The following is a 24,422-nucleotide window of genomic DNA, read 5'->3' on the forward strand; positions in this document are numbered from 1 at the left end:
CATCGGCCCTGGGACCTGGGCCAAGTCACTGCCCCACTTTGAGCCTCTGTGTTCCTCACTTGCACAACAACAATCTTGGTCCTGCAAACCTTGCAGTGTTCCAAGGAGCAAATGGACTCACAGCTGAGAAGGCACTTTGAAAACCATGAAATGCTTATTATTGCCTTCCCCTCAGACCAGGAGCTCCTGGAAGGAGGGGCTGTACCTCAGATGTTATGCATATTTGTTATCCCACCTAAGTAAATAGGATAGTGTGGCAGCAAAACAAAACAAAAACAAAAAGTGTTGACACTGACTTAAGCTTTGTTTTTAGAAGAATGTGTTTGGGGCTATCTTGGATTCTCCCAGAAGCAGGCCCTGGGACATGGATTTGAGTACAAGTGGTTCATGTGTGACGTGATCCCAGGAAACACAATTAGAAGAGTGGTGAAGTAACACAGGAGTGAATGGAGCCTTTCATAAGGTGTACCCTTAGCAAGCTTAGCCCTGCTAGGGAACCCTAGAGGCCTGGGTAGAACACACATCCAGAGTTACCCCTCATTAGAGGCAAGGGGGCTAGGGGAGTCAGTCATTGGCTGAGGGCTGCTCGGGGGATATGAATTCTCCAGCATGTCCAGCCTGACACATGGGTTGACAGCCCCGGTCCCTCCAAAAGTCCTGAGAAAAAAGGTACAGATGCTGGCAGGTGGAAATAGACACTGAAATGTCTATTTCTCTTCTTCTTCTTCTTCTTTTTTTTTTTTTAAGACAGGGTCTCACTCTGTCACCCAGGCTCCAGGCTGGAGTGCAGTGGTGATGATCTTGGCTCATTGCAGCCTTCACTTCCTGGACTCAAGCAATCTTTTTGCCTCAGCTTCCCAAGTAGCTGGGACTACAAGTGTACGCCACCATGCCCGGCTAATTTTTGCATTTTTTGTAAAGACAGGCTTTTACTACGTTGCCCAGGCTGGTCTCAAACTCCTGAGCTCAAGTGATCCTCCTGCCTCGGCCTCCCAAAGTGCTGATATTACAGGATTGTGCCACTGTGCCCAGCCTGAAATGACTGTTTCTAACAGATATTTGAAATGGCACTGAAATGGAAGGGCCAGGCAAATATACATGGAGCACCTAAAACACCTGCTATAGTCTGGGGCAAGATAGGCACTTGAGTTCCCCAGATTAGCTTCACACTTCAGAGACTCTCATGCTTCTTATTCTGCCTGGAACACACCATGTCTTCTTATCTATCCCACAATTCTTATCTTCTGAAGCCATAGTGGACATCTGATGTCTTGGCCTTCCCAGAATTCCTTCTTTTGGGAATAGAACCTCTCTCTTCCTTTTGGGGAGTCACCCTTCCCTCTCTTGCTCTCAGCCCATATGGTTCAGGTGGGGCTAAGCCCCATCTGTTTGTTCCAAGAGGGTCATGACGCTCCTTGGAGTGATGATTTATCCAGAATCCTTCCTGGGCCTTAGGCTGAATGTATACGGAAGTAAGGGTGGCTAAGCTATAGAATCTAAGTGTGGTGTGACCAACAGCCATCTTTGGCACCACACAGGAGAGAGTGAAGCCAATTCTGAGGTCAGCAGAGCTAAGGAATAGAGGAAGAAAAACCAAGTCCTGATGCCATTGTTTGAGTCCCTGGATCAATCTGTGCCTGAAGTCTATCCACAGACTTTTCAGTTATGAGATCTAAAATATTCTCTTTTCACTTGAGCTAGTTTGAGCTGGGTTTCCTGTTACCTACAACCCAAAGTCCTCACTAATTCAGTGTCACTTTGAGCCTTTTCTGCCCTCATCCTCCCTTTTAAGACTTAGTACTTCTTTTATTTCCCCACAGTTCCCTATGCAAGCTTCTCTCAGTGTGTATAACACTTTACTGCATGTGTTTGTTTACAGGTGTGTCTTCTCTACAAGGCGGTGAGCTCCTTGAAGATGGACCAAGTTGGATCCATCTCTGTCCTCAGGGTCCAGCACAGGCTGGAACCTGGCCAGACCATACCATACATGTTATCTTCAAGCTGCATAGATTAAGGGCACATTAGCCAATTGGAGCCTATGGAGATGAGGGCAGTGGTGTGGGGTCTGGAAGCCATGAAGAACATAAGAATAAGGAATGTTTAACTTGAAGTAGAGACCACTTCTGAGACAATCCATTCTCTGATTCCACAGACTGTTTCTGGGTGCCTCCTCTGTGGGAGGCCCGGGACTGGGGGCTGAAAAGGCCATGGATGACACAGCTATAGTCCCTGCCTGGGGAGCTCACAGTCTGGTTGGGATCGGGCATGGAAACAAGGAACTATAATAGAGTGTGGTCAGTACCACTAGAAAGGGATGTAGGGCATGGCCAGGGAAGTCCTCTTAGTGCAGGGGGGCAGAATTATGACAATGTTGGTGGCACATTTTAGCTTTGAGGAGTAACTTTCTAACAATCAGAACTGTGCAAGAATGGAAGGCTGCCTCAGGAGGCAGTAAGTGTTCTGTGTCTGGAGGTGTGTGAGCAGGGCTGGGACAACCACTTAACAGACTGGATATATATTTTTTTCTTTTTTATCATTTTATTTTCAAATTGTCTATGTCTTTTAATGTTAAAGTACGTTTTTTGATAATAACATATAATTGCTTGCATTTATAAAAGGTCAGCAAATGCTGCCTTTTCATGAGAGTATTTAATCCATTTACATTAAATTAGTGTTTCATGTTTGGATTTATCTGTCATGGTGTTTGATTTCTATTTCTGTTTTCAGATTTTCATTTCTCTACCTTTAGTTGGAAAATTATTCTTATTCAATTTTATCTCCTATGTGAATTATCATTATTAATTTAATTTGTGTCACCGCTATTGAATTTCTGCTTATGTCCATTTGACTTATTTTTGGTGGTTGCTGTATAGATGCATACGCATCTTCTTTTTATCATAGCCTGCCTGCCAAAAATACTCTAGTACTTACGAATATAAGAATTTTGGCAGGGCATGGTACCTCATGCCTGCAATCCCAGCACTTTGGGAGGCCAAGGCAGGCGGATCACGAGGTCAGGAGTTTGAGGCCAGCCTGGCCAATATGGTGAAACCCCTTCTCTACTAAAACTACAAAAATTAGCTGGGTGTGGTGGCATGCACCTGTAGTCCCAGCTACGTTGGAGACTGAGACAAAAGAATCACTTGAACCAAGGAGGTAGAGGTTGCAGTGAGCTGAGATCACACCACTGCACACAAGCCTGGGCGACAGAGTGAGACTCCTTAAAAAAAAAAAAAAAAAAAAAGAATCTTAAAACTGTATACTTACTTCTTTTTTTTTTTTTTTTCCTGAGACAGAGTTTTGCTCTGTCACCCAGGCTGTAGTGCAATGGCGCAATCTCAGCTCACTACAACCTCTACCTCCTGGGTTCAAGAGATTCTCCTGCCTCAGCCTCCTGAGTAGCTGGGACTACAGGCATGTGCCACCACTCCCGGCTAATTTTTATATTTTTAGTAGAGATAGGGTTGGCCAGGCTGGTCTCAAACTCCTGACCTCAAGTGATACCCCACCTTGGCCTCCCAAAGTGCTGGGTTTATAGGCGTGAGCCACTATGCCCTGCCTTAAAACAGTATACTTCTAAATACCACCCTTCTATCTTCATGGTTATATACTTTACATTCATATATGCTATAAATTCCACATTATGTAGTATTATTTTGACTTTATGGTAGTTATGTTCTATAAAGTTGTTGAAATCATGAATACTGAACCATGGCTCCTAGAGGAAATAAAGAGTTAGGTTCCTGCTTGTCTCTGGTCACACCATTTTCTTTTTTCTTTTTGAGATGGAGTCTCACTGTGATGCCTAGGTTGGAGTGCAGTGGCGCCATCTCAGCTCACTGCAACCTCTGCCTCTCAGGTTCAAGCAATTCTCCCACCCCAGCCCCCCGAGTAGCTAGGATTACAGGTGCACACCACCACACCCGACTAATTTTTGTATTTTTAGTAGAGACGGGTTTTCACCATGTTGGCCAGGCTGGTCTCAAATTCCTGGCCTCAAGTGATGATCCGCCTGCCTTGGCCTCCCAAAGTGCTGGGATTACAGGCATGAGCCACTACGCCCGGCCTATTTTCATCTATTGAAAAATGTATATCCTTGTTTTATGTGTGTTTCCATTTAAAAACATCTTATTTCATATATATTGTTGATTCATTAACACTGAACTCACAGCCAACTGCACTATGAGTTGTGCCTGAACAAAGCTTACGTAACACATGTGTCTTTTCCATAAGGCCCATTATAGTTTTCTTGTGCAGCATTTCAGCACTACTATTGGGAACCATTTTAAATAGTGAAATTGCCATTGAAAAGCACAATTTTTAACAGACTGGATGTTGATGTTTATCAACAAAGAGGACCAATGTGGAGGCTGCAGGGAATTCCTCACAATAAGACAAGCCATTAAAGCTCTGCTTCCTTCTGTATGTCAGGTACTGGGATATTAAGACAAAAACAAAAATAAAAAAGAAACAATCTCTGGCTCACAGTAGAAAAGCTCACAGTTTACAGAAATTTTTAAAATGTAACACTATGGCCTGATACCAGTGTCTCTTGAACTAGAATAATGTACAGACCCCCCTTTGAAAGGAAAAAAAATTATTGGGTTACTCATTGTTGACTTAATCTAAATATGTTAAAATTTAAACTCAATATAAATTCCAATGTATGTAACTGTAAAAGCAAATCTTTTATATAAACAATTTTTATTCAGTACAAACATTGAATATGAACAAAACTAAAAAATGAATAAAATGCTAATAACAACACCGCTGCTGCTGCTGGTCATGATGAGTTCTTTTGAGCTCATCCTGTTGGTTTTGTAGAAATATTCTGGCTGGGTTAGGTGGCTCACGCCTGTGATCCCAGCACTTTGGGAGGCCAAAGTGGGTGGATCGTTTGAGCCCAGCAGTTTAAGACCAACCTTGACATGGCAAGACCCTGTCTCTATAAAAAATACAAAAATTAGCCGGGCATAGTGGCACGTGCCTGTAGTCCCAGCCACTCAGGAGGCTGAAGCGGGAGAATCACCCGAGCCCAGGAAGTCAAGGCTGCCGTGATACAGTGAGCCGTGATTGCGTCACTCACTGCACTGCAGCCTGGGTGAAAAAGTGAGACCCTATCTCTAAAAACAGAGAAAGATTCCATCTGGTAAGTGAAGGAGGGATGATAGAATCTAATAAGAGAATGCATCTAAGAAATGATCATTACAAAAAAGAGAGAGAAAAAAAAAAGCCTAGTATTACATCCCTCTTGCTGTAAGAACACACTACCACCTAGCAGGAGACATGAAAAAGAAAAAAAATCATACCTGAATCAGACCAAGCCTCAGGAGCTACCTTTCAGTGTTCAGGAAATAGAGGAGATAGAGAGACACATGAAATAATACCAGGAGGACACGATGAACAAAATCTGGACTGTGGAAAACTTGATAGGACAAACATCTGTTTCCTCAACAAATAACAAGAGGAGCAAAGATAAAAAGATGGAGGAGGAACTTACAGATAAAAAAAGACTTAAGAGACATTTGTGAGACACATGAACCAAATACAGTGTCCAGATCTTGTTTGGATCCTGATTTGAATAAAACAACTAAAAGTAAAGAAAAAAGCAATTGGAGAAATGTGAACATTAACTGAATATTTGTTGATATTGAAGAAGTATTTTCTACATGTGGTGATGATGTTGTGGTTAAAGAGTTTAAAAAGAGTCAGGTTTTTTTGTTTTTGAGACAGGGTCTGACTCTGTTGCCTAGGCTGGAGTGCAGTGGTGCAATCTCGGCTCACTGTAGCCTCGACCTCATGGGCTCAAGTGATCCTCCCATCTCAGCCTCCCGAGTAGCTGGAACTACAGATGTGCACCACCATGCCTGGCTAATTTTTGTATTTTTTTGTACAGACGAGGTTTCGCCATGTTGCCCAGGTTGGTGTCAAACTCCTGAGCTGAAGCAATCCACCCACCTTGGCCTCCCAAAGTGCTAGGATTATAGGCATGAGCCACCATGCCTAGCCAAGAGTATTTATCTTTTGGGAATACATACTGAAATATTTCTGAATGAAACAGTATATTTGTTATTCGCGTCACAATAATCCAGGGGGAGGCAGGAAGTGGGTACCAGTTTAGATAAACTTATCTGGCCATGAGCTGAGGATGGCTTTAGCTGCATGACGGTTCATTATTGTATGTTTAAAATATTTTATAATAAAAAGCTTTAAGGCCAAACACAACACCTGTAATCCCAGCGCTTTTGGAGGTGGAGGAAAGAGGATTGCTTAAGGCCAGAAGTTCAAGACCAGCCTGGCAAAATAGCCAGATTTCATCTCTACTTTGAAAAAAAAAACACAAAAAAAATTAGTTAGGCGTGGTGGCACATGCCTAGCTAGTCCTAGCTACTCAGGAGGCTGAGGTGGAAAGATCACTTTAGCCCAGAAGGTCAAGGCTGCAATGAGCCATTATCATGCTGCTGCACTCCAGCTTGGGTGACAGAGTGAGACCCTGTTTCAACAACAACAAAAAAAGTCTTTAAAAATAAAAAAAGACACTTGTCTTTCAAGTCGCCCACTTGGCCCTCTTCCAAGTGTACTTTCCTTCCTTTTGTTCCTGCTCTAAAGTTTTTTAACTTTCATTCCTGCTCTAAAACTTGCCTTGAAAAAAAAATGAAAAAGCTTTCTAAGGTGCTGGAAATTTAAAATGCAGGCATTACATCATTATATTGCTGACAGGAGTATAAATTGGTATAACTTTTATGGAAGGCAATTATGACAATGTCTACTAAATTTAAAATACACATATCCTTTGACTCAGAAAACCATTTCTAGAAATGCAGCCTCTGTACTCACCATGTATGAAACACACACAGACACACATACACACATACATGCACACAAATTCTCACTATAGCTTTGTTTGTAAAAGCCTAAGATTAGTAATAAACTAAATGTCCTCAATAGAGACTAAATAAGTCATGGTAAATCATTCAATGGAATACTACATAGTCACTAAAAAGAATGAGGATGCCCTTTATAAACTGGTCTGAAACAATCACCCAAGTGCAAGACTGTGCATAGGGTATGCTACTATACAAAAAAGAATGTGTATAGTCATGTGTGCTTATATATGTATAAAATAACTCTGAAGTATATAAATAAGACACTTTTCATTATGTAGCCCTCCAGGGAAGGGATCTGGGTTTACAGGGGAGAGGGGGAGGAGCAAGACTTACATTTCAATGCCACTATTCTGCACCTTTTAAATTTTATTCCATATGTATGGATTATCTCTATTAAAAATTGATCAAAGTTAAAAAAATTAAGGCATTCAAAAATATAGTTATAAAGACTAGGAATGTGGGAAAATGTTTGTAGCATGATATTTGGTTTAAAAGAGTACACAGAGAGGGCCAGGTGCCGTGGCTTACCCCTGTAATCCCAGCACTTTGGGAGGCCGAGGTGGGCGGATCACGAGGTCAGGAGATCGAGACCATCCTGGCTAATATGGTGAAACCCTATCTCTACTAAAAATACAAAAAATTAGCCGGGCGTGGTGGCGGGCGCCTGTAGTCCCAGCTACTCGGGAGGCTGAGGCAGGAGAATGGCGTGAACTCGGGAGGCGGAGCGTGCAATGAGCAGAGATCGTGCCACTGCACTCCAGCCTGGGCGACAGAGTGAGACTCCATCTCAAAAAAAAAAAAAAAAAAAAAAAAAGTACACAGAGCGGGACGTCCGGCTTCTGAGTGGGAACCTTCCTAGCGCCAGCGACAAAAGAGAGAATTAAATATGGGTGATATTGAGAAAGGCAAGAGGATTTGTACTGAGAAGTATGCCCAGTGCTACACCGTGGAAAACAAAGGCAAGGACAAAACGAGGCCTAATCTCCACCGTCCAGGCCATTGGATTCTCTTTAACAGATGCCAGTAAGAACAAACGCATCACCTGGGGAGAGGATACCCTGATGGAGCATTTGGAGAATCCCTAGAAGTACATCTCTGGAACAAAAATGATCTTTGCCCACATTAAGAAGAAGGCAGAAAGGGCAGACTTGATAGCTTATCTCAAAAAAGCTACTAATGAGTAATAATTGGCCACTGCCTTATTTATTACAAAACAGAAATGTCTCATGACTTTTTTATGTGTACCACAATTTGATAGCTCTCATACACCAGAATTCAGATCATGAATGACTGACAGAATATTTTGTTGGGCAGTCCTGATTTAAAACTAAGATGGGGTTGTAGTTAAATGAATATGTTTGGTTTTTTGAATTTTAATAGTAATTGCGATTCAGTAAATGCTATCACCGTTTACCCCTTCTAAAGCTATGATTAGACTTTGTTAGTAATGTTCAACTTTCCAAAGATGGTGAATGCCATCTTAAAACTTATTGGAGATTGGGCTGGGTGTGGTGGCTCACACCTGTAATCGCAGCACTTTGGGAGGCTGAGGTGGGCAGATCACTTGAGGTCAGGAGTTCAAGACCAGCCTGGCCAACATGGTGAAACCCCATCTCTACTAAAAATACAAAAATTAGCCGGGCATGGTGGTGCACGCCTGCAGTCCCCAGCTACTCTACTGAGGCGGCTGAGGCAGAGGAATCGCTTGAACCCAGGAGGCAGAGGTTGCAGTGAGCCGAGATCGCACCACTGCACTCCAGCCTGGGCAACAGAGCAAGACTCCGCCTCAAAAAAAAAAAAAACTTATTGGAGATTGGTTTTATATTTAGATTAATATAACTGGATATGTAAATATATTTAAATACTGGGAAATTCCTTCACTGTCTCAGAACCAAGCAAGGTTCACCTGTGTTTTGTGTTCACTTGCTTCTTAAAGGCAAGGGTTGATGATAAGGTAGCAATGTATACTTTAAATTTTTGGCCTTAACTATGCCAATCTAATTTGAATTCCCTGTGTCTAAAATGGTTCCTTTTACTTATTGAAAGGTATTTTAGTGTGGTTTATGTGTAATATCAAATAAGGATTATTTAACACTTCTCACATTTTATAGATGATCTATAAGGTCAAATGCTTTAAAAATAGTAGCAAGTTAAACCTCACTCTTGAATTCTTTACAATCTAAGTCAGACTAAGTTGTAATTTAGGATTGTCTTTAAACAGCCATTCAGAAACCTAAAACTGTAGAACTCTTGTGTATTTGTGATCGGGAATGGTGCTTTTGCTGACTTAAAAGGATTAAAGTAGAGGAGATATACACAAATTTAAAAATTATGTGTGATCATAAGACTTAATTAAAAACAAAATCACAGATGATGAAAAAAAGTATACAAAATGTTGTCCACATATTAGAAGTACATAAAAATATGTCTGCTCATGATCAAATACTGAAAACACACATCAGTGAAAAGGATTGTGTTAGATGTGAGTACAAGTTTTTTTAACTTTATAGATATTATAAAATGGTATGATAATATTATAAAAATTTGGTTGAAAAATCAGATTTAGATTACAAAAATCTGGTTTCCATGGGAGTTTTCAGAGAGAGACTTTTTAAAAAATCACTTAATAAATCATTTATTTGTAAATCAGCACGTGTAGTATAAAGAACCTAAGAATTTAGACAATTTTAATAACCCATAAGCATGTTGATTCTATTTGCAGATTTAAATTTTGTATAAATAGCAGTCATTGCATACATACATCTTAACTGTACTTTGTTTATAATCACATTTATGCTACCGATACTCCTCAGAAAAAAACAGATTCTACTTGGTTCTAGCTGAAGTATTATCAACTCCAAATAACGCTTTGAGGACCTCCAAAGGTAAAGTACTAATCCCTTTGGCCATTTATTGAGAGAGAGAGAGAGAGAGAGAGAGAGTTTTGAAGCAACAATGTACCCTTAGTAAAGCTGCTATGCAAAATTACCCCTCAGTCCTATTCTAAGCTTACAGTTCAGTTGATTTTATTGTCCTCACCTAAGTATATACAATTCACATATGGGAGAAAAACACTAAATCAAGATGATTATTTTCACTATTTTGCTTAAGATTCATATTTAAATATAAATCAAGAAGTTAATCTACAGTTTGAGACATACTTTTTACATTAGAAATGTTTTTTAAAATGTTAAACTGATACATAATTGTAAATATGGTGTATGTACTGTTTCACACACAATGTGTGTCGATCAAATCAGTGTAATTAGCATGCCCATCAACTCAAACATTTATCATTTATTTGTAGCAAGAACATTCAATACATTAACTGTACTCACCCTACTGTGCAATAGGGCATCTGAACATATTCCTCCTAATTTAACTTTGTACCCATTAAAAGTGGTTTTGTGTGCAAATAACAGACAGATGTTCTACCCATACATTGTTTTCCAAAATTATTGTGTGGCTTTTTAAAAGAAAACCACACAACAAATTTTAAAAGGCACTGAGATAACATCTGCTTCTAGATCACTGCTAGGCTCGAAAAATAAAGCTTGTTCTACCAGGAATCACAAGTTAGAACTGAGTATTTGCCAAAGCAGAAATTATATAGTGTCAGTCATTTCAGGCAAACACTATTTGGCCCTCATCCCCAATTATCTGTCAGAACAATTAAAACAGGTCAAAAACAGTCCAGCATAACTGGGCTTCATTATATAAGGCCATTTTGTTCTAAGATGCTAATAAACCAAAATAAGAAATACTAAAATCAAAATAGAAGATATTATTTGAGCTATTTTCATACAAACTGTTGGTTCCTTATATCCTCCCTTCTATAACAATAAAAGGCATATTTTACTGCAAAGAAAATTTTACTTTATATATATCACTAGCCATAAATTTTTGAATGTCATTAATTACAGAAATGTTGCCTAGTACCATTAACCAAATAGCATAACCATTTTATGCCCACATTTCACTTCCATATTTACAAACATATCTATCAGTAAAGAGTTAACAATGAGATGCAATCTAACATCCATATTGTCTGATGTTTTGTAGACAGCAATGTAGATGATTTTTTAATCACCTTTCATTTGAGTGACCTTATATAAAAAATAAGTCAATAATTTAGAGGTTCTAAGTCTCCAAAGGAGATTTTCAAATGTAAATATAGAAACGGTTATAGACAATGAGATTTTTAGGAAACCTCTTCCGTGTCTGCATCCTGTTATAACTGTTGTATCACCTTTTCTTCCAGCTGCTTTCCTTTGCCTGCAAGAGGTGTCAAGATGAGTTTTGCCTGACTTCTTTGATGTCCTGAACTTTCTGTAGTCCTTTTTTTTCTTCAATTTGTTCATTATAAATTTAGCTTAGCATTTGTTTGATCTTTTCAACTGTCTTCATTGCATCAGTAGTTTTATTCCATAGTTCTTGCCGGTATTTGACAGGCTCATTTCTGTATTTTTCAAATTCAAATGAATTACCCACTGTAAGCTCATTATTACCAGTTGCTTTACAAAATGCTTTAGTCCACCTAATCTTTCCAGAATTGCGCTTCTTTTAAAGTTTTTATGCCATTTGTATTTACACAATCTGAACACCTTGCAATAGCTGCAGATGAACATCATGATGTGGTCAGGGTAGATGGGCCCCAAAGAAACTAACACTTCTTAGTACACATGCTGAGCTCGCATGGGCCTCCACTGACCACACATGGAGCTTGAGAGGAAGTCAAGAGCTATCTTGGAATTCCACATTCTGACCCTGTCATTCTTGAAAGAAAATGATGCATAATTTCTGAATAATTCAGAAAGAACATATAATCTTTCCAGTTAGTTTTTAAATAGTTCTGTTTATCAAATTTCTGAATTAACTTTTCTGAATTCAAGGGTTTCTAAAACTAGCCTTAAGCAAAATTCTGAAACCTAGGCTGGGAACCATGTAACCCAGCCCAAGAAGGTACTTTAAAGCGTCTTCGAGTTGTTTTTCAACCTAGGGGAAACAATAGATTCCGTTAAATCCTGAAAAGGATGTTTTTGTGTGTGAAAAATGGCCTGATACACTAGGTTAGACTCAGGAGGCTTTAACAAGTTTTGTCTTATGGGTAAATGGTGGCGATTTTCACAGATAACATCATTACTCCCATCCCTTACTATGGTTTATACAAAAGAGGCTGGAGAATAAGTACATTTTTACAGCCAGGTGTGGTGGCTCGTGCCTGTAATCCTACTTAGCACTTCGGGAGGCTGAGACAGGAGGATCTCTTGAGCCCAGGAGTTCGAGACCAGCCTGGGCAACATAGGGACACCCTGTCAGAGACTTTTACACAAAGCGAGGTGCCTGATACCTGATCACGCTGCCAGAGCTGGCTCTGTTCAGTTTCCTGCCAGCCTCAGTGGGGGAACAAGACACTGGACTAGTAACTGCAGTTGGTCACGTCCTCACCCTCAGCACTCATTCACCAGACTCTGGACAATCTGTTTATTTTGAGGAAAAGACTCTGAACAAACAAGAAGAGGCTTTTTCAAAGGAGGAAAGCCAGGGTGTTAAATATCCTCCTTCATACGCTCAGCTTCCTTCCTTAAGGAAAGGCCCCAGTGGGAAACCGGAGGTGGGATCTGTCCAAGCAGGAAGGAGAGCCAGGAACCCACAGCAGTAGCCTGACCTGATGCCACAGCTAGACCTCAGCCTAACTCTGGCCTCCTGTTCTACATCCTCCTGCTTTGCCTACCCACTGACCACCTGTTCCTGGGGGCTCCTCCTGCAGGCCTGCCTCACTTGCCCTTCAGAGCCCACACTGGGAGCCCAGACTCACCCTGCCCTTATCAACAACATGACCTCTCACAAGGCACTTGGCCTTTCGGAGCCTTGGTTTTCTCATCCATAAAACAACCTTGCCTATCTTGCCGGGTTGCCAGAGGAAGAGACTGCCAGAGGATGAGACGGTCATAATGTCCCATTCTGTGTCCCTGCACCACTTATTCTCTACTTCTCGGTCTACTTGGCCTACTCCTCCTTGCCAGCCTGTGCCTCACACAGCCTATGTCTCACATTTATCAGTCCTCTGCTCTCCTCTGTTAGAGCTTCTGCACCTAAACCTTCACTCATCCCACTCATGCTCCAGACCCAACTGCCTCTTGGCTCTCTCTGCTTGCCTCTCCCATGAGTATCTCAAACTTGATTTATTAAAAACTGAACTCATCATCTTCCTCTCCAAACTTGATCCTTATCTGGTGTTCTCCATCCCAGCAGTATCTTTAGCATCCATCCACCCAGCTGCTCAAATAAGAAACCTTGACTCTACCCCAACATTCATGGATAGCAGCAGCAGTGGCAGGAGCAGCAGCAGCCATTTTCTACCAGGTGGCCTGGGAAATAGAGAAAGCTGGACTGAAGCGAGACAAAATGAAGCAAACACATGCCACAAAGCATGACAGAGAGTGGGAGGGAAAAGACTACCTAAGTTCCTAAAGAGCTTCACACTCTGGTTCTGTTCTTCAGCTGCTGCCTTACTCTTGGATTCTATGAGACTCCAGTACCTTTTCCAATAACCCCCACCCTTGTTCTTTTTTTTGGCTTATGTTAGAATTGGGTTTCTACACTTACAAATATAAGAGTTCTGATTAATATAAACAATTACATTAGTTATAGCAGGCTAGGTTGTGCTGTGACATGTAAGTGGCTGAACTCCAATGCATGTCCATCGTCAGCAGGGGGCTCTGATCATTGCAGTCCCTCAGGAAGCAGCCACCATCTTCAGTGTTGTTGGTCACTGTTCCAGAGGGAAACTCTGAAGGGCCTGGCACCAGCTAGTCAATGCTCCAGCTCAGAAGTGACATGCCACCTCCATTCATAAATTAACCAAAAGAAGTTAACCTTGCTCCTACTCACCCATGTTGGGGCCACAAAGCACAATCCTGCCATGTGTCCAGAAAGCAGAGAGCCAGAAATATTTGGTGAAGATTAAAAACTATCATATATTTTCTGCTGCCTATTCTGTGCCAGGCCCTGAGCCAGGGGCCAGGGACACAGGAATGAGTAAGTCATGGCCCTTCCTTAAAGGGCTCCCCATGACTACGATATAAAACCAATACTGTGATGGGTCCACTGAGACTCTGCTGTGTCTCAGAACAAGGAAATGTCTAGATTAGGGGTCACCAACTCGAATGCCTACAGGGGCCAGGAAGCTAATGTCAACAAGTGGAGGAAGAGAGGGGAGGTGCTGCAGGTAACTGGAAAATGCAATTTTAAAAACATACCTGCTTCTGGCTGGGCATGGTGGCTCATGCCTGTTAATTCCAGCACTTTGGGAGGCCGAGGCGGGTGGATCACCTGAGGCCAGGAGTTCAAGACCAGCCTGGCCAACATGGTGAAACTCTGTCTCTACTAAAAATACAAAAATTAGCTGGGCATGGTGGTGGATGCCTGTAATCCCAGCTACTTGAGAGGCTGAGGCAGGAGAATTGCTTGAACCCAGGGCGATAGAGTGAGACTCCGACACACACACACACACAAAACAACAACAAAACCGTACCTGCTTCCAATCATCAGGCAGATGGCCCAATGTTTCCAGATCTCTCTAATTTTCATGAGAAGCCAGAAAACCAAATTTTTACATGACAATTTCCCATTTTTTAAATGTTGGCAATTACTAAACTTAACCAGATACATACACACATACATAAAATCCTGTAAGCCTAAGAGAACACATCTGCAGGCCAGCACCATGAGGGCCAGTTTGTATCCCCCAAGTCCAGCACAGGAAGCAACAGTTTCCTGTACTCTGTGCTGGTCTGTCCACACCAAGACTGCTGTGCTCAGCTGTGAGCGCTGCACCTAATGGGACACACATGAGCCGGGGCTGGTCCACAGACAGATGGGCAGGATGGGAGGAGACTTTAAATAGTTCAATTCCCCTTAATCGATATTTTCAAATAGCGTTGTGTATGTCAAGCCCAGTGCTACATGCTGGAGATGCAGAAGGAAACAAGGCAGAAGCAGCTCTACTCTTGCGGAGCCTATTGCCTTGAGGGGAACTCAAAGGATCTGGGGATAATTTCCCTGGAGAAGGCTCATGGAGGACAGACGGTAATAATAATGATAAGATTTACTGAGCTTTTACTCTGGGCCAACATTACCCTCAATGCTTTACCTATAATTATGTCATCTAATTCTTACCACTATCCTTGTTTCATGTAATGAAACTGAGGTTCAGGAAGGTCAAGCAAATCAGCCACTACAATTGTGTACAGATTCTCTATGGTCCAGAAGAATGGAACAGGCTGTCAAATGAGAGCACGTACTTAAGAGGCTAACACAGTATGACCGTATGTGGCAATAAATGAGTGCTGAGTACATGTCTATTTCTTTTCCAGTCTCTGGAAGCATTCAAGAACAAGTTGTATGGTCATTTGTTAGGGTTGCTAGAGAGGGAGGCTGAGTATCAGATAGGTAGAAACACTGTGCACAGCCTTCCATCTATGAGAATCTAACTCCACTTTTCCTGGAATAATTATTTTCCTTTTTGGCAATAATAACAAAGTAATTATCAATGACTCCTCACTTCCACACCCCTACAACAGCAGCAGTAGCCCTGTGGATGGGAGACTAAGGCCCAGGAAGAATATGGACCAAATTACAGGTGATAAACCATCAATCAAGTAATACTGATGGAATGTCCATGACACGTAAACCATATTGTTCCAAGCTCTAAATCAGTGTGCACAGCAGGAAAAGAGCATGAGAAAGGGGCTTATACCTAAGACTCAGTACTGGCTTTGGCATTAATTTACTTTGACTTTGAGAAGGTTTTTCCTAAGCCTTGCTTTCATCTCTTTACAATGAGGGGGTAGGAATATACCTCTAAAGTCCTTTTCAGCTTGAATAATTGATATAAATTATTTGCATTAAAAAAAATCAGACCTCAGATGTAGGAGGATTCACCTTTCTTCCTAGAAGCCAGTGAGACCACAGAACCCTGGGAACTCAAAAGGACTTTAGATGTGAGAATGGTCAGTCCTCATGGGACCAATGAGCACTTTTAAAATGTAGCTAGTCCAAAATGAGGTGTGCTATAAGTGTAAAATACACACTATATTTTGAAGACTCAGCATGAGAAAAAGAATATGAAATATCTCAAGAAAACATTTATATTGCTTTATATTGATATTTTTATATATTGGGTTAATTAAAATATTAAAATTAACATCATAGACCAGGCATGGTGGCTCACACCTGTAATTCCAGCACTTTGTGAGGCTGAGGCAGAAGGATCCCTTGAGCCCAGGAGTCTGAGACCAGCTTGGGCAACATAGCAAAGCCTCATTTCTTAAAAAAAATAAAAATAAAATAAAATAAAAATAACATCACCCATTTCTTTTACCTTTTTAACATGGATCCTAGAAAATGTCAAATTACAATGTGGCTTGCATTGTATTTCTATTGAACAGCACTGGTTTAAGGAGAAACTGAAGACCAGAGAGTAAATGACTTTTCCACAGAGCCAGAACTGGAACCAGGGTCCCCTGACTTCTCATTCGAGGCTCTTTCCACTCTTAATAGGCTGTGGTGGCCATTCTTCAAGATGGCCCCTAATAATCCTCACCTTCTGTTGCCCTAGTGCAGTCCCTTCCACACTGAACAGGGCTCATCTGTTAGAAGACTACAGAAATGCCTGTGTGACTTCTGAGGCTGGGTCATAAAAAACATTGTGGCTTCCAGCTTGTCTCTCTTTGGCATGACTTGCTCTAGGGGAAGCCAGTTGCCCTGTCATGAGAACAATTAAGCAACCCTATAGGGAGGTCCACACGGTAAGGAACTGAGGCCTCTTGTCAGCAACCATAACCAACCACGCAAGTGAATGCACCATATGGAGCGCTGATCCTCCAGCCCAGCCAAGCCTTTGAATAAGTGCAGTTCCAGCTGACATCTTAACTGCAAGTTCGTGTGAGACCCTAACCTAGAAACACCCAGCTAAGCTTCCCCCAAATTCCTGACCCACAAACGAGATAATTAATGTTTACTGTTAAGTCACTAAGTTTTGATGATTTGTTACACAGCAACAGATAATACGCAGCCTTACAAATTTAGAGGTCTCATATAAGAAAAACTCACTTCTATCTTTGGCATTTGTACAGTGTGAGAAATTATTCTTATCCTTCCTCCAGTCTTTGGCCTAGCTCAGGGTAACCCAACTAAAAACTGCTAAATTATCAAACTTGGGGAATCAAACCCAGGAAGGTAAGATCCCATTTTATTCTTAGAAGGTTCTTCCCTTTTCCCTTTATTGCAGAAAGAACCCAGGTCTCTTGAGAATGAAAAAGCACTACATCACATCACCTTCACCTGGGCCATTCAGAGATTTGATTCCCACAAAATCAAAGGAACTAGAGCCCAGAATTGCTCAGTTAGACACAGTATTGAGGAAGCAACAATTGAGAAATGACAATCTATGACATCAACAATCGAGAAATAACAATCTATGACATCTGAATTTCTCTGAGACACTGCTGTCAATAGCAGTGCTAATGTTTTATATAGCATGTGTTGCTTTTCACAGTATTGTCACATCTAGTATCTCTGAGGTAGGTGGGGAAGATATAAATAAAACAGGATACATATGAAAATAGTGGCTCAGAGCTCATGGTATGTCCTTAGTTTCATGATCAGTGAATGACAGGCCAGGTCTAAAATCTGGGTTTCAGTAGGTGACTCAAGTCAGACTTCATGCTTCCCAAGGCAGGAGCATCCTGGCTGTTATGAGTACTCTTCAGTTGGGGCTGTCCTCTGAGATCAGTGTGCACTTGTAGATCTCCTTAAAGGCCACAAGGAAAGGTGGCATTACTTCTTCCACGGTGACGTGCCTCTGGAGCTCCTTACTCAAGGAAGTGACGCCTGTCCCAACCAGTCCACAGGGCACGATGTGCTCAAACCACGTGAGGTCGGTAGAGCAGTTGAGAGCCAGGCCGTGGGATGTGATGTGCCTTCCACAGCGGACTCCTGCAAGGCAAGCCAAAGGGTCTTAGAGTAGATACCCTCCACTCTCCGGGCTTTGGTGTCCCTCTCAGGGCGATGAGAAAACTGGATTAGATCACCGGTTTTCAAATTTTGTTTCTGGAGAAACAAGGGATTGTACTCAGATGGGAAAAGGAAACAAATGAAAGGAAGGGGTGCGTGGCTTCAAGCAGCTGCACTCATCATGAGGATTCCAGGAAATGTCTTTTAACAGATTCCAATACTTAAAAAAAAAAAAGCTTGGGGACAGGCGCAGTGGCTCACGCCTGTAATCCCAGCATTTTGGGAGGCCGAGGCGGGCGGATCACGAGGTCAGGAGATCGTGACCATCCTGGCTAACACGGTGAAACCCCATCTCTACTAAAAATACAAAAAATTAGCCGGGCTGGTGGTGGGCGCCTGTAGCCCCAGCTACTCTGGAGGCTGAGGCAGGAGAATGGCGTGAACCCGGGAGGCGGAGCTTGCAGTGGGCCGAGATTGCGCCACTGCACTCCAGCCTGGGTGACAAAGCGAGACTCTGTCTCAAAAAAAAAAAAAAAAAAAAGTTTGAAAATTAGCACCCTTATTTGCCATGACATTGTCATTCGCAGGACGTAACCTGGCAATTCACTTCTCTTGTCTCTCCCTTAACAGAAATGCGTGTTGGACTAGATGTGAGGAGCCTTCTGCTTCTGAATATACGATATCTGAAAAGGGGCTTAAAAACTCAAACGCAGCGGGTAGCTGTGATTCAAAACCCGCGCTAGATACGCCTCCTCCCGGCCCTCACCTCCGTTGGTCCAGCCCCGTCAGACCCCGCCCCCAGGCCTCAAGCTCCGACCTCGGCTCTCAGGTACCGCCCTGCTCCGCGGCGCTCACCGATCGCGCAGATCTTGCGATCGTCTAGCCAGACGCCAGTGTAGGGCGGGGGCCGCGCGCGGGCGTCCTGCAGGCCCTGGAGCTCGCACAGGCGCACGGCGCACGCCTCCAGCGACGCTACGTGCATGCGCAAGCGCAGGCCGAGACGCCGCAGGTCGAGTACCGGGTGGCAAAGCAGCTGGCCCGGGCCGTGGAAGGTGGCCAGGCCACCGCGGCCTGTGACGCGCACCTCGGCGCCCAAGGCCCGTAGCCGCGCAGTTTCCTCGGGCGTCAGGCCGCCGCGCAGCCCGGCCGTATACACGGGCCCCGCGGGCTCGCAGAGCAGGAGCGCGCCCGCCTCAGTCCCCGACGGGGCCTCAATGCCTGGCTCGGCCTGCAGCCGCCGCAGCCAGCGGTCCTGCAGCCCCAGTAGCTCGGCGTACGGCACCCGACCCAGGCGCACCAACCGAACGGCGGGTTGCCGCATCGTGCCCACCGTTGCGTCCGCGGGGCCCCGCCCTCTCCGTGGGCCTGGGGGCGTGGCCTGAGGGGCGGGGACTCGGGGGCACACCCCGAGCCGCAGCTCCCAGGTGCGTGTTAAAAGCTGGAGGGGGGATATGTGATCCCAGGACCAAAAGCGCGGGGCCAGACTCATCGGTTCATTCAACAACCAGTATTTAGTGCCTGCTGTGTTCTGCAGGCCCTGCCATAGGCGCTTGATACAGCGGTGCATAGCGTATGAGAAAGATCTGTCCTGGTAAGCTTACATTCTTACAGCAGACGATAAGTATTTTAAGTGTTAAGTAAATAAGGTTATTTCACGTATAAGGTGTTAAATGCTATGAAAAGAAAAATAAAACAGGGTAACGTGGTGTGTCCTGTGTTGAGCCCCTGGGGGACGCAAGAGGGAGATTAGCTTGCCTACAAGGTTATTGGTGGAGGTAGGGAGAACTTAAAGATCAGCACCTGTAAGAAAGTGAAGGAAGCAGGAATTTGTAGGCAGAGGAAGAAGTTGGCCTGCAAAACAGTTGCAGCAGAGGCCTTGACCAATCCCAAGGCATGCTTGGAGCCTAGGATGACCCTTCAGAGTAGTTCCACATTAAAGCAAGGGGGCCAGAAACTCTTATCCTTGCATTGACCAGTCATGGATACAGGCTACACCTGGGGAGGAGCTGTGATTTTTTTTTTTTTTTTTTTTTTGGCAAGACTGCTTCCCTCGGTGGAGGGCGGCCCCCAGAGAAGGACTCAGTTGTGTATCATCAGTAACCAACTCCAGAAGCTGAGGGAATGACTGTCTAGGCCCTGAGGGGGTGTCTGGACCACAACATCAGCTATGTTGCAGTTAGAGTATCATTTAAACAAGTCTGAATTCAATGAATTTTTACTGAGGACTTTTCAGACACCATAGGTGTCTGAAAAACATTTCATAAACATAGACATAAAGATCCTAAGCAAATATTAGCAAATCAAATCCAGCAATTTATAAAAGGATTAATACATCATGATGAAGTAGGGTTTATCCCGGGAATGCAAGGTTGGTTTTGCATTCTGAAATCAAACAATGTAATTTACCTTAAAAGAGAAAAGCCTTCATTGGAAGAAATAATAAAAATTTTTTTTAAAGAAAAGCTATGATTATGTTAAAAAATACAGATAAATCTATTGGCAAAAATAAACACCTCTTCTGACCAAAATACTTAGCAATCTAGGAATAGAAGAGAAATTTTCCAGTCTGATGAAGGGTTCAAATTATCAATCAGGGTTTGGACAAGAGAAATCACATATGTACTATTTTAATTAAATGTTTTATTTGAGAAAATTGGACACTCATATGCAGTTGTAAGGAATAATATGGACAGATTATATGTACCCTTTACCCAGCTTCCCCCAATGGAAACACCTTGCAAAACTGTAGTACAATATCACAACCAGGATACTGACATTGATAAAGTCAAGATGCAGAACATTTTCATCACCACAAGGATCCCTCATGTTGCTCTTTGTAGTTACACTGCTTCTTAATTCCTGGCAAACGTCTGTGTTGTATAGATGGAATCATACAGAGTGCAACCTTTTAGAATTTTTTTTTCACTCAGCATAATTATCTGGAGACTCATCCAAGTTGTTGCATGTATCAATAGCGCGTTTCTTTTTATTGATGAGTAGTAGTCCATAGTATGAATGTACCACAGTTTGTTTAGCCATTCACTCACTGAAGAACACCTGGGTTGTTTCCAGTTTTCAGATATTCTGAGTAAAGGTACTGTAAACATTTGTGTACAGGTTTTTGTGTGAACTAAGTTTTCATCTCTCCGGAATAAATGCCCAGGAGTGCAGTTGCTGGGTTGCATGGTAGTTACATGTTTCGTTTTTTAAGAAACTGCCAAAATGCTTTCCAGAGCGGCTGTACCATTTTACATACCCACCACCAGTGTATGAATGATCAAGTTTGTCTGCATCCTCATGAGCATTAGCTTTTATTTTAGCCATTCTAATAGGTGTGTGGTGGTGTCTTATTGTGATTTTAATTTGTATTTCCCTATTGACTAATGATGTAAGACATCTTTTCATGTGCTTATCTTCCATGTGTATATTCCCTTCAGTGAAATGTCTGTTCATGTCTTTTGCCCATTTTCTAATTAATTGTTTTTCGTACTGTTGAGTTTTGAGATATCTTTATATATTCTAGATATTAGCCCTTTGTCAAATATGTGCTTTGTAAACAGTTTCTCACAGTGTATGGCTTGTATTTTCATCCTCTTAACCGTATCTTTTGCAGAGCAAAAGTTTGTCATTGTGATAAGGTCCAATTTATCCACTTTTCCTTTTATTGATGCTTTTGGTTTAATAACTCTTTGCCCAGCCCTAGATCCTGAAGACATTCTACTGCCTATTTTTTTAAAGATTTTTTATTTTACATTTAAGTCTATGATACATTTTGAGTTAATTTTTTATTTATTATTATTATACTTTAAGTTTTAGGGTACATGTGCACAATGTGCAGGTTAGTTACATATGTATACATGTGCCATGCTGGTGTGCTGCACCCATTAACTCGTCATTTAGCATTAGGTATATCTCCTAATGCTATCCCTCCCCCCCCCCACAAAATTGACAAATGGGATCTAGTTAAACTAAAGAGCTTCTGCACAGCAAAAGAAACTACCATCAGAGTGAACAGGCAACCTACAAAATGGGAGTTAATTTTTAAAATAGGTGTAAAACTTTGGTTGTTGTTGCGGTTGTTCTTTTTTGTTTGTTTGCATATACATGTTACATTACGCCAACACCATTTGTTCAAAAGGCTATGTTTCCTCCATTGAATTGCTTTTATGCCTTTGTCAAAACCAGTTGGACATATTCGTGTGATCCTATTTCCAGTTTCTGTATTCTGTTCCATTGATCTATGTGTTTATTCCTCTACCAATACAGGCTGAGCATCCGTAATATAAAAATCTGAAATCTGAAATGCTCCAAAATCCTAAACTTTTTGAGTGCTGACATTATGCCACAAATGGAAAATTTCATACCTGACCTTATGTGAGTTGCAGTCAAAACACAGGTGCACAACACCCAGTTCATGCAACATCCCCAGTGGGAAAAAAGACCCCCCCAGCTCTCTTCTGCTGCAGTTTTTCTGCTCACACCTGGATTTCCCCATGCATTCCCACAAAAAGTAATTAAATGGCATGCGTGCAGGCTGGACACGCCAACAACAGGTTTCCCACAATGCCCCACATGGGGCCAAGACCTGTGTGCATTACTCACTGCATTTTTTTGCTTATTCTCTGCTGTGTGGTATAAATATATTGTTGAAAATGTCAAAAAGACCTAAAGATACCCCTGTGAATATCAGTGATAAGAAAAAGAGGAAGCATTTATGTTTATCTATAGCACAGAAAGTCAAGTTGTTGGAGAAACTGGACAGTGGTGTAAGTGTGAAACATCTTACGGAAGAGTATGGTGTTGGAATGACCACCATATATGACCTGAAGAAACAGAAGGATAAACTGTTGAAGTTTTATGCTGAAAGTGATGAGCAGATATTAATGAAAAATAGAAAAACACTTCATAAAGCTAAAAATGAAGATCTTGATCGTGTATTGAAAGAGTGGATCCGTCAGCGTCGCAGTGAACACATGCCACTTAATGGTATGCTGATCATGAAACAAGCAAAGATATATCACAATGAACTAAAAATTGAGGGGAACTGTGAATATTCAACAGGCTGGTTGCAGAAATTTAAGAAAAGACATGGCATTAAATTTTTAAAGACTTGTGGCAATAAAGCATCTGCTGGTCATGAAGCAACAGAGAAGTTTACTGGCAAGTTCAGTAATGATGATGAACAAGATGGTAACTTTGAAGGATTCAGTATGTCAAGTGAGAAAAAAATAATGTCTGACCTCCTTACATATACAAAAAATATACATCCAGAGACTGTCAGTAAGCTGGAAGAAGAGGATATCAAAGATGTTTTTAACAGTAATAATGAGGCTCCAGTTGTTCATTCATTGTCCAATGGTGAAGTAACAAAAATGGTTCTGAATCAAGATGATCATGATGATAATGATAATGAAGATGATGTTAACACTGCAGAAAAAGTGCCTATAGACGACATGGTAAAAATGTGTGATGGGCTTATTAAAGGACTAGAGCAGCATGCATTCATAACAGAGCAAGAAATCATGTCAGTTTATAAAATCAAAGAGAGACTTCTAAGACAAAAAGCATCATTAATGAGGCAGATGACTCTGAAAGAAACATTTAAAAAAGCCATCCAGAGGAATGCTTCTTCCTCTCTACAGGACCCACTTCTTGGTCCCTCAACTGCTTCTGATGCTTCTTCTCACCTAAAAATAAAATAAAATACAGTGTACAGTAACCTTTTAGTCAAAACAGCATCATACTTGGAAACTGAAAGCCTACTGTTATTTGTTATTGTTGCTTAACAGCTGATACAGGTATTCTGGTGACACTACTGTGCTGGCTTACTTAACCTGAATACACTATTTTTTTCGTTGTATTACTGGTATGTCATTTTTTTTACTGTTAAGTACTTATGTGTGAATAAGTGTAAAAAAATGATTGCTTATCGGTAACATATAAATTCAGAATCAGGAATGATGGTGATGCCAAACAATCACAGATCGTCCACATGGGTGGCGGAGATGTTAACACCTTTGCTTTCTGATGGTTCAGTGTATCCACACTTTGTTTCATGCCAAAATTATTTAAAATATTGTATGAAATTACCTTCAGGCTATGTGTATAAAGTATATATGAAACATAAATGAACTTTATGTTTAAACTGGGATCTTATCCTCAAGCTATCTCATTGTGTATGTGTAAATATTTCAAACTAAAAAAAAAAAAAATCTGAAACACTTCTGGTCCCAAGCATTTCAGACAAGGGATATTCAACCTGCCCTGCAGTCTTGATTACTATAACTGTATAATAAATCTTGAAATCAGGTAGCCTGATCCCACTTTATTTTTTTCTCAAAATGGTTTTAGTTATTCTAGTTCCTTTGCCTTTCCACACAAATTTTAGAATGATATGTATGTCTAAAAAATACTGTTGGGGCTGGGCGTGGTGGCTCATGCTTGTAATCCCAGCACTTTGGGAGGCTGAGGCAGGTGAATCACAAGGTCAGGAGATCGACACCATCCTGGCTAACA

General features: G+C 41.8%; 1 protein-coding gene, 1 long non-coding RNA gene and 2 pseudogenes across 5 annotated transcripts, besides 2 other annotated features; 2 read left to right on the forward strand and 2 right to left on the reverse strand.

Moving 5' to 3' along the window:
• Positions 7,713–8,270, forward strand: CYCSP27 (CYCS pseudogene 27; annotated as a pseudogene).
• LOC107984356 (probable ribosome biogenesis protein RLP24) lies at positions 9,507–13,007 on the reverse strand (annotated as a pseudogene). The gene is made up of 2 exons (XR_007062531.1): positions 12,926–13,007; positions 9,507–11,550 (listed from the first exon to the last, which is right to left on the reverse strand). The product of XR_007062531.1 is annotated as a probable ribosome biogenesis protein RLP24 (transcript).
• On the reverse strand, positions 16,043–19,248 carry LIPT2 (lipoyl(octanoyl) transferase 2). 3 transcript variants are annotated; one of them, NM_001329942.2, is made up of 2 exons: positions 18,991–19,248; positions 16,043–17,888 (listed from the first exon to the last, which is right to left on the reverse strand). In NM_001329942.2, exons 1-2 carry the CDS (start codon positions 19,225–19,227, stop codon positions 17,769–17,771), a joined length of 357 nt encoding a protein of 118 aa, NP_001316871.1. In that variant the 5' UTR covers positions 19,228–19,248; the 3' UTR covers positions 16,043–17,768. The 3 variants fall into 3 exon arrangements, with proteins under 3 accessions (NP_001316871.1, NP_001138341.1, NP_001316870.1); NM_001144869.3 differs by having other exon boundaries at positions 18,762–19,248; NM_001329941.2 differs by having other exon boundaries at positions 18,724–19,248.
• LIPT2-AS1 (LIPT2 antisense RNA 1) lies at positions 18,904–24,057 on the forward strand. Its single transcript, NR_171028.1, has 2 exons — positions 18,904–19,497; positions 22,173–24,057. It is a non-coding gene; the product is annotated as an LIPT2 antisense RNA 1 (long non-coding RNA).
• Positions 19,014–19,123: a silencer, noted in NCBI's record as "silent region_3753". NCBI's record gives its function as "represses an Ori minimal core promoter by ATAC-STARR-seq in GM12878 lymphoblastoid cells {active_cell/tissue: GM12878}" and the evidence as "EXISTENCE:reporter gene assay evidence [ECO:0000049][PMID:35858748]".
• Positions 19,234–19,483: a silencer, noted in NCBI's record as "silent region_3754". NCBI's record gives its function as "represses an Ori minimal core promoter by ATAC-STARR-seq in GM12878 lymphoblastoid cells {active_cell/tissue: GM12878}" and the evidence as "EXISTENCE:reporter gene assay evidence [ECO:0000049][PMID:35858748]".

Source organism: Homo sapiens, chromosome 11 (genome assembly GCF_000001405.40).
Source record: "Homo sapiens chromosome 11, GRCh38.p14 Primary Assembly".
NCBI classification, from domain to species: domain Eukaryota; kingdom Metazoa; phylum Chordata; class Mammalia; order Primates; family Hominidae; genus Homo; species Homo sapiens.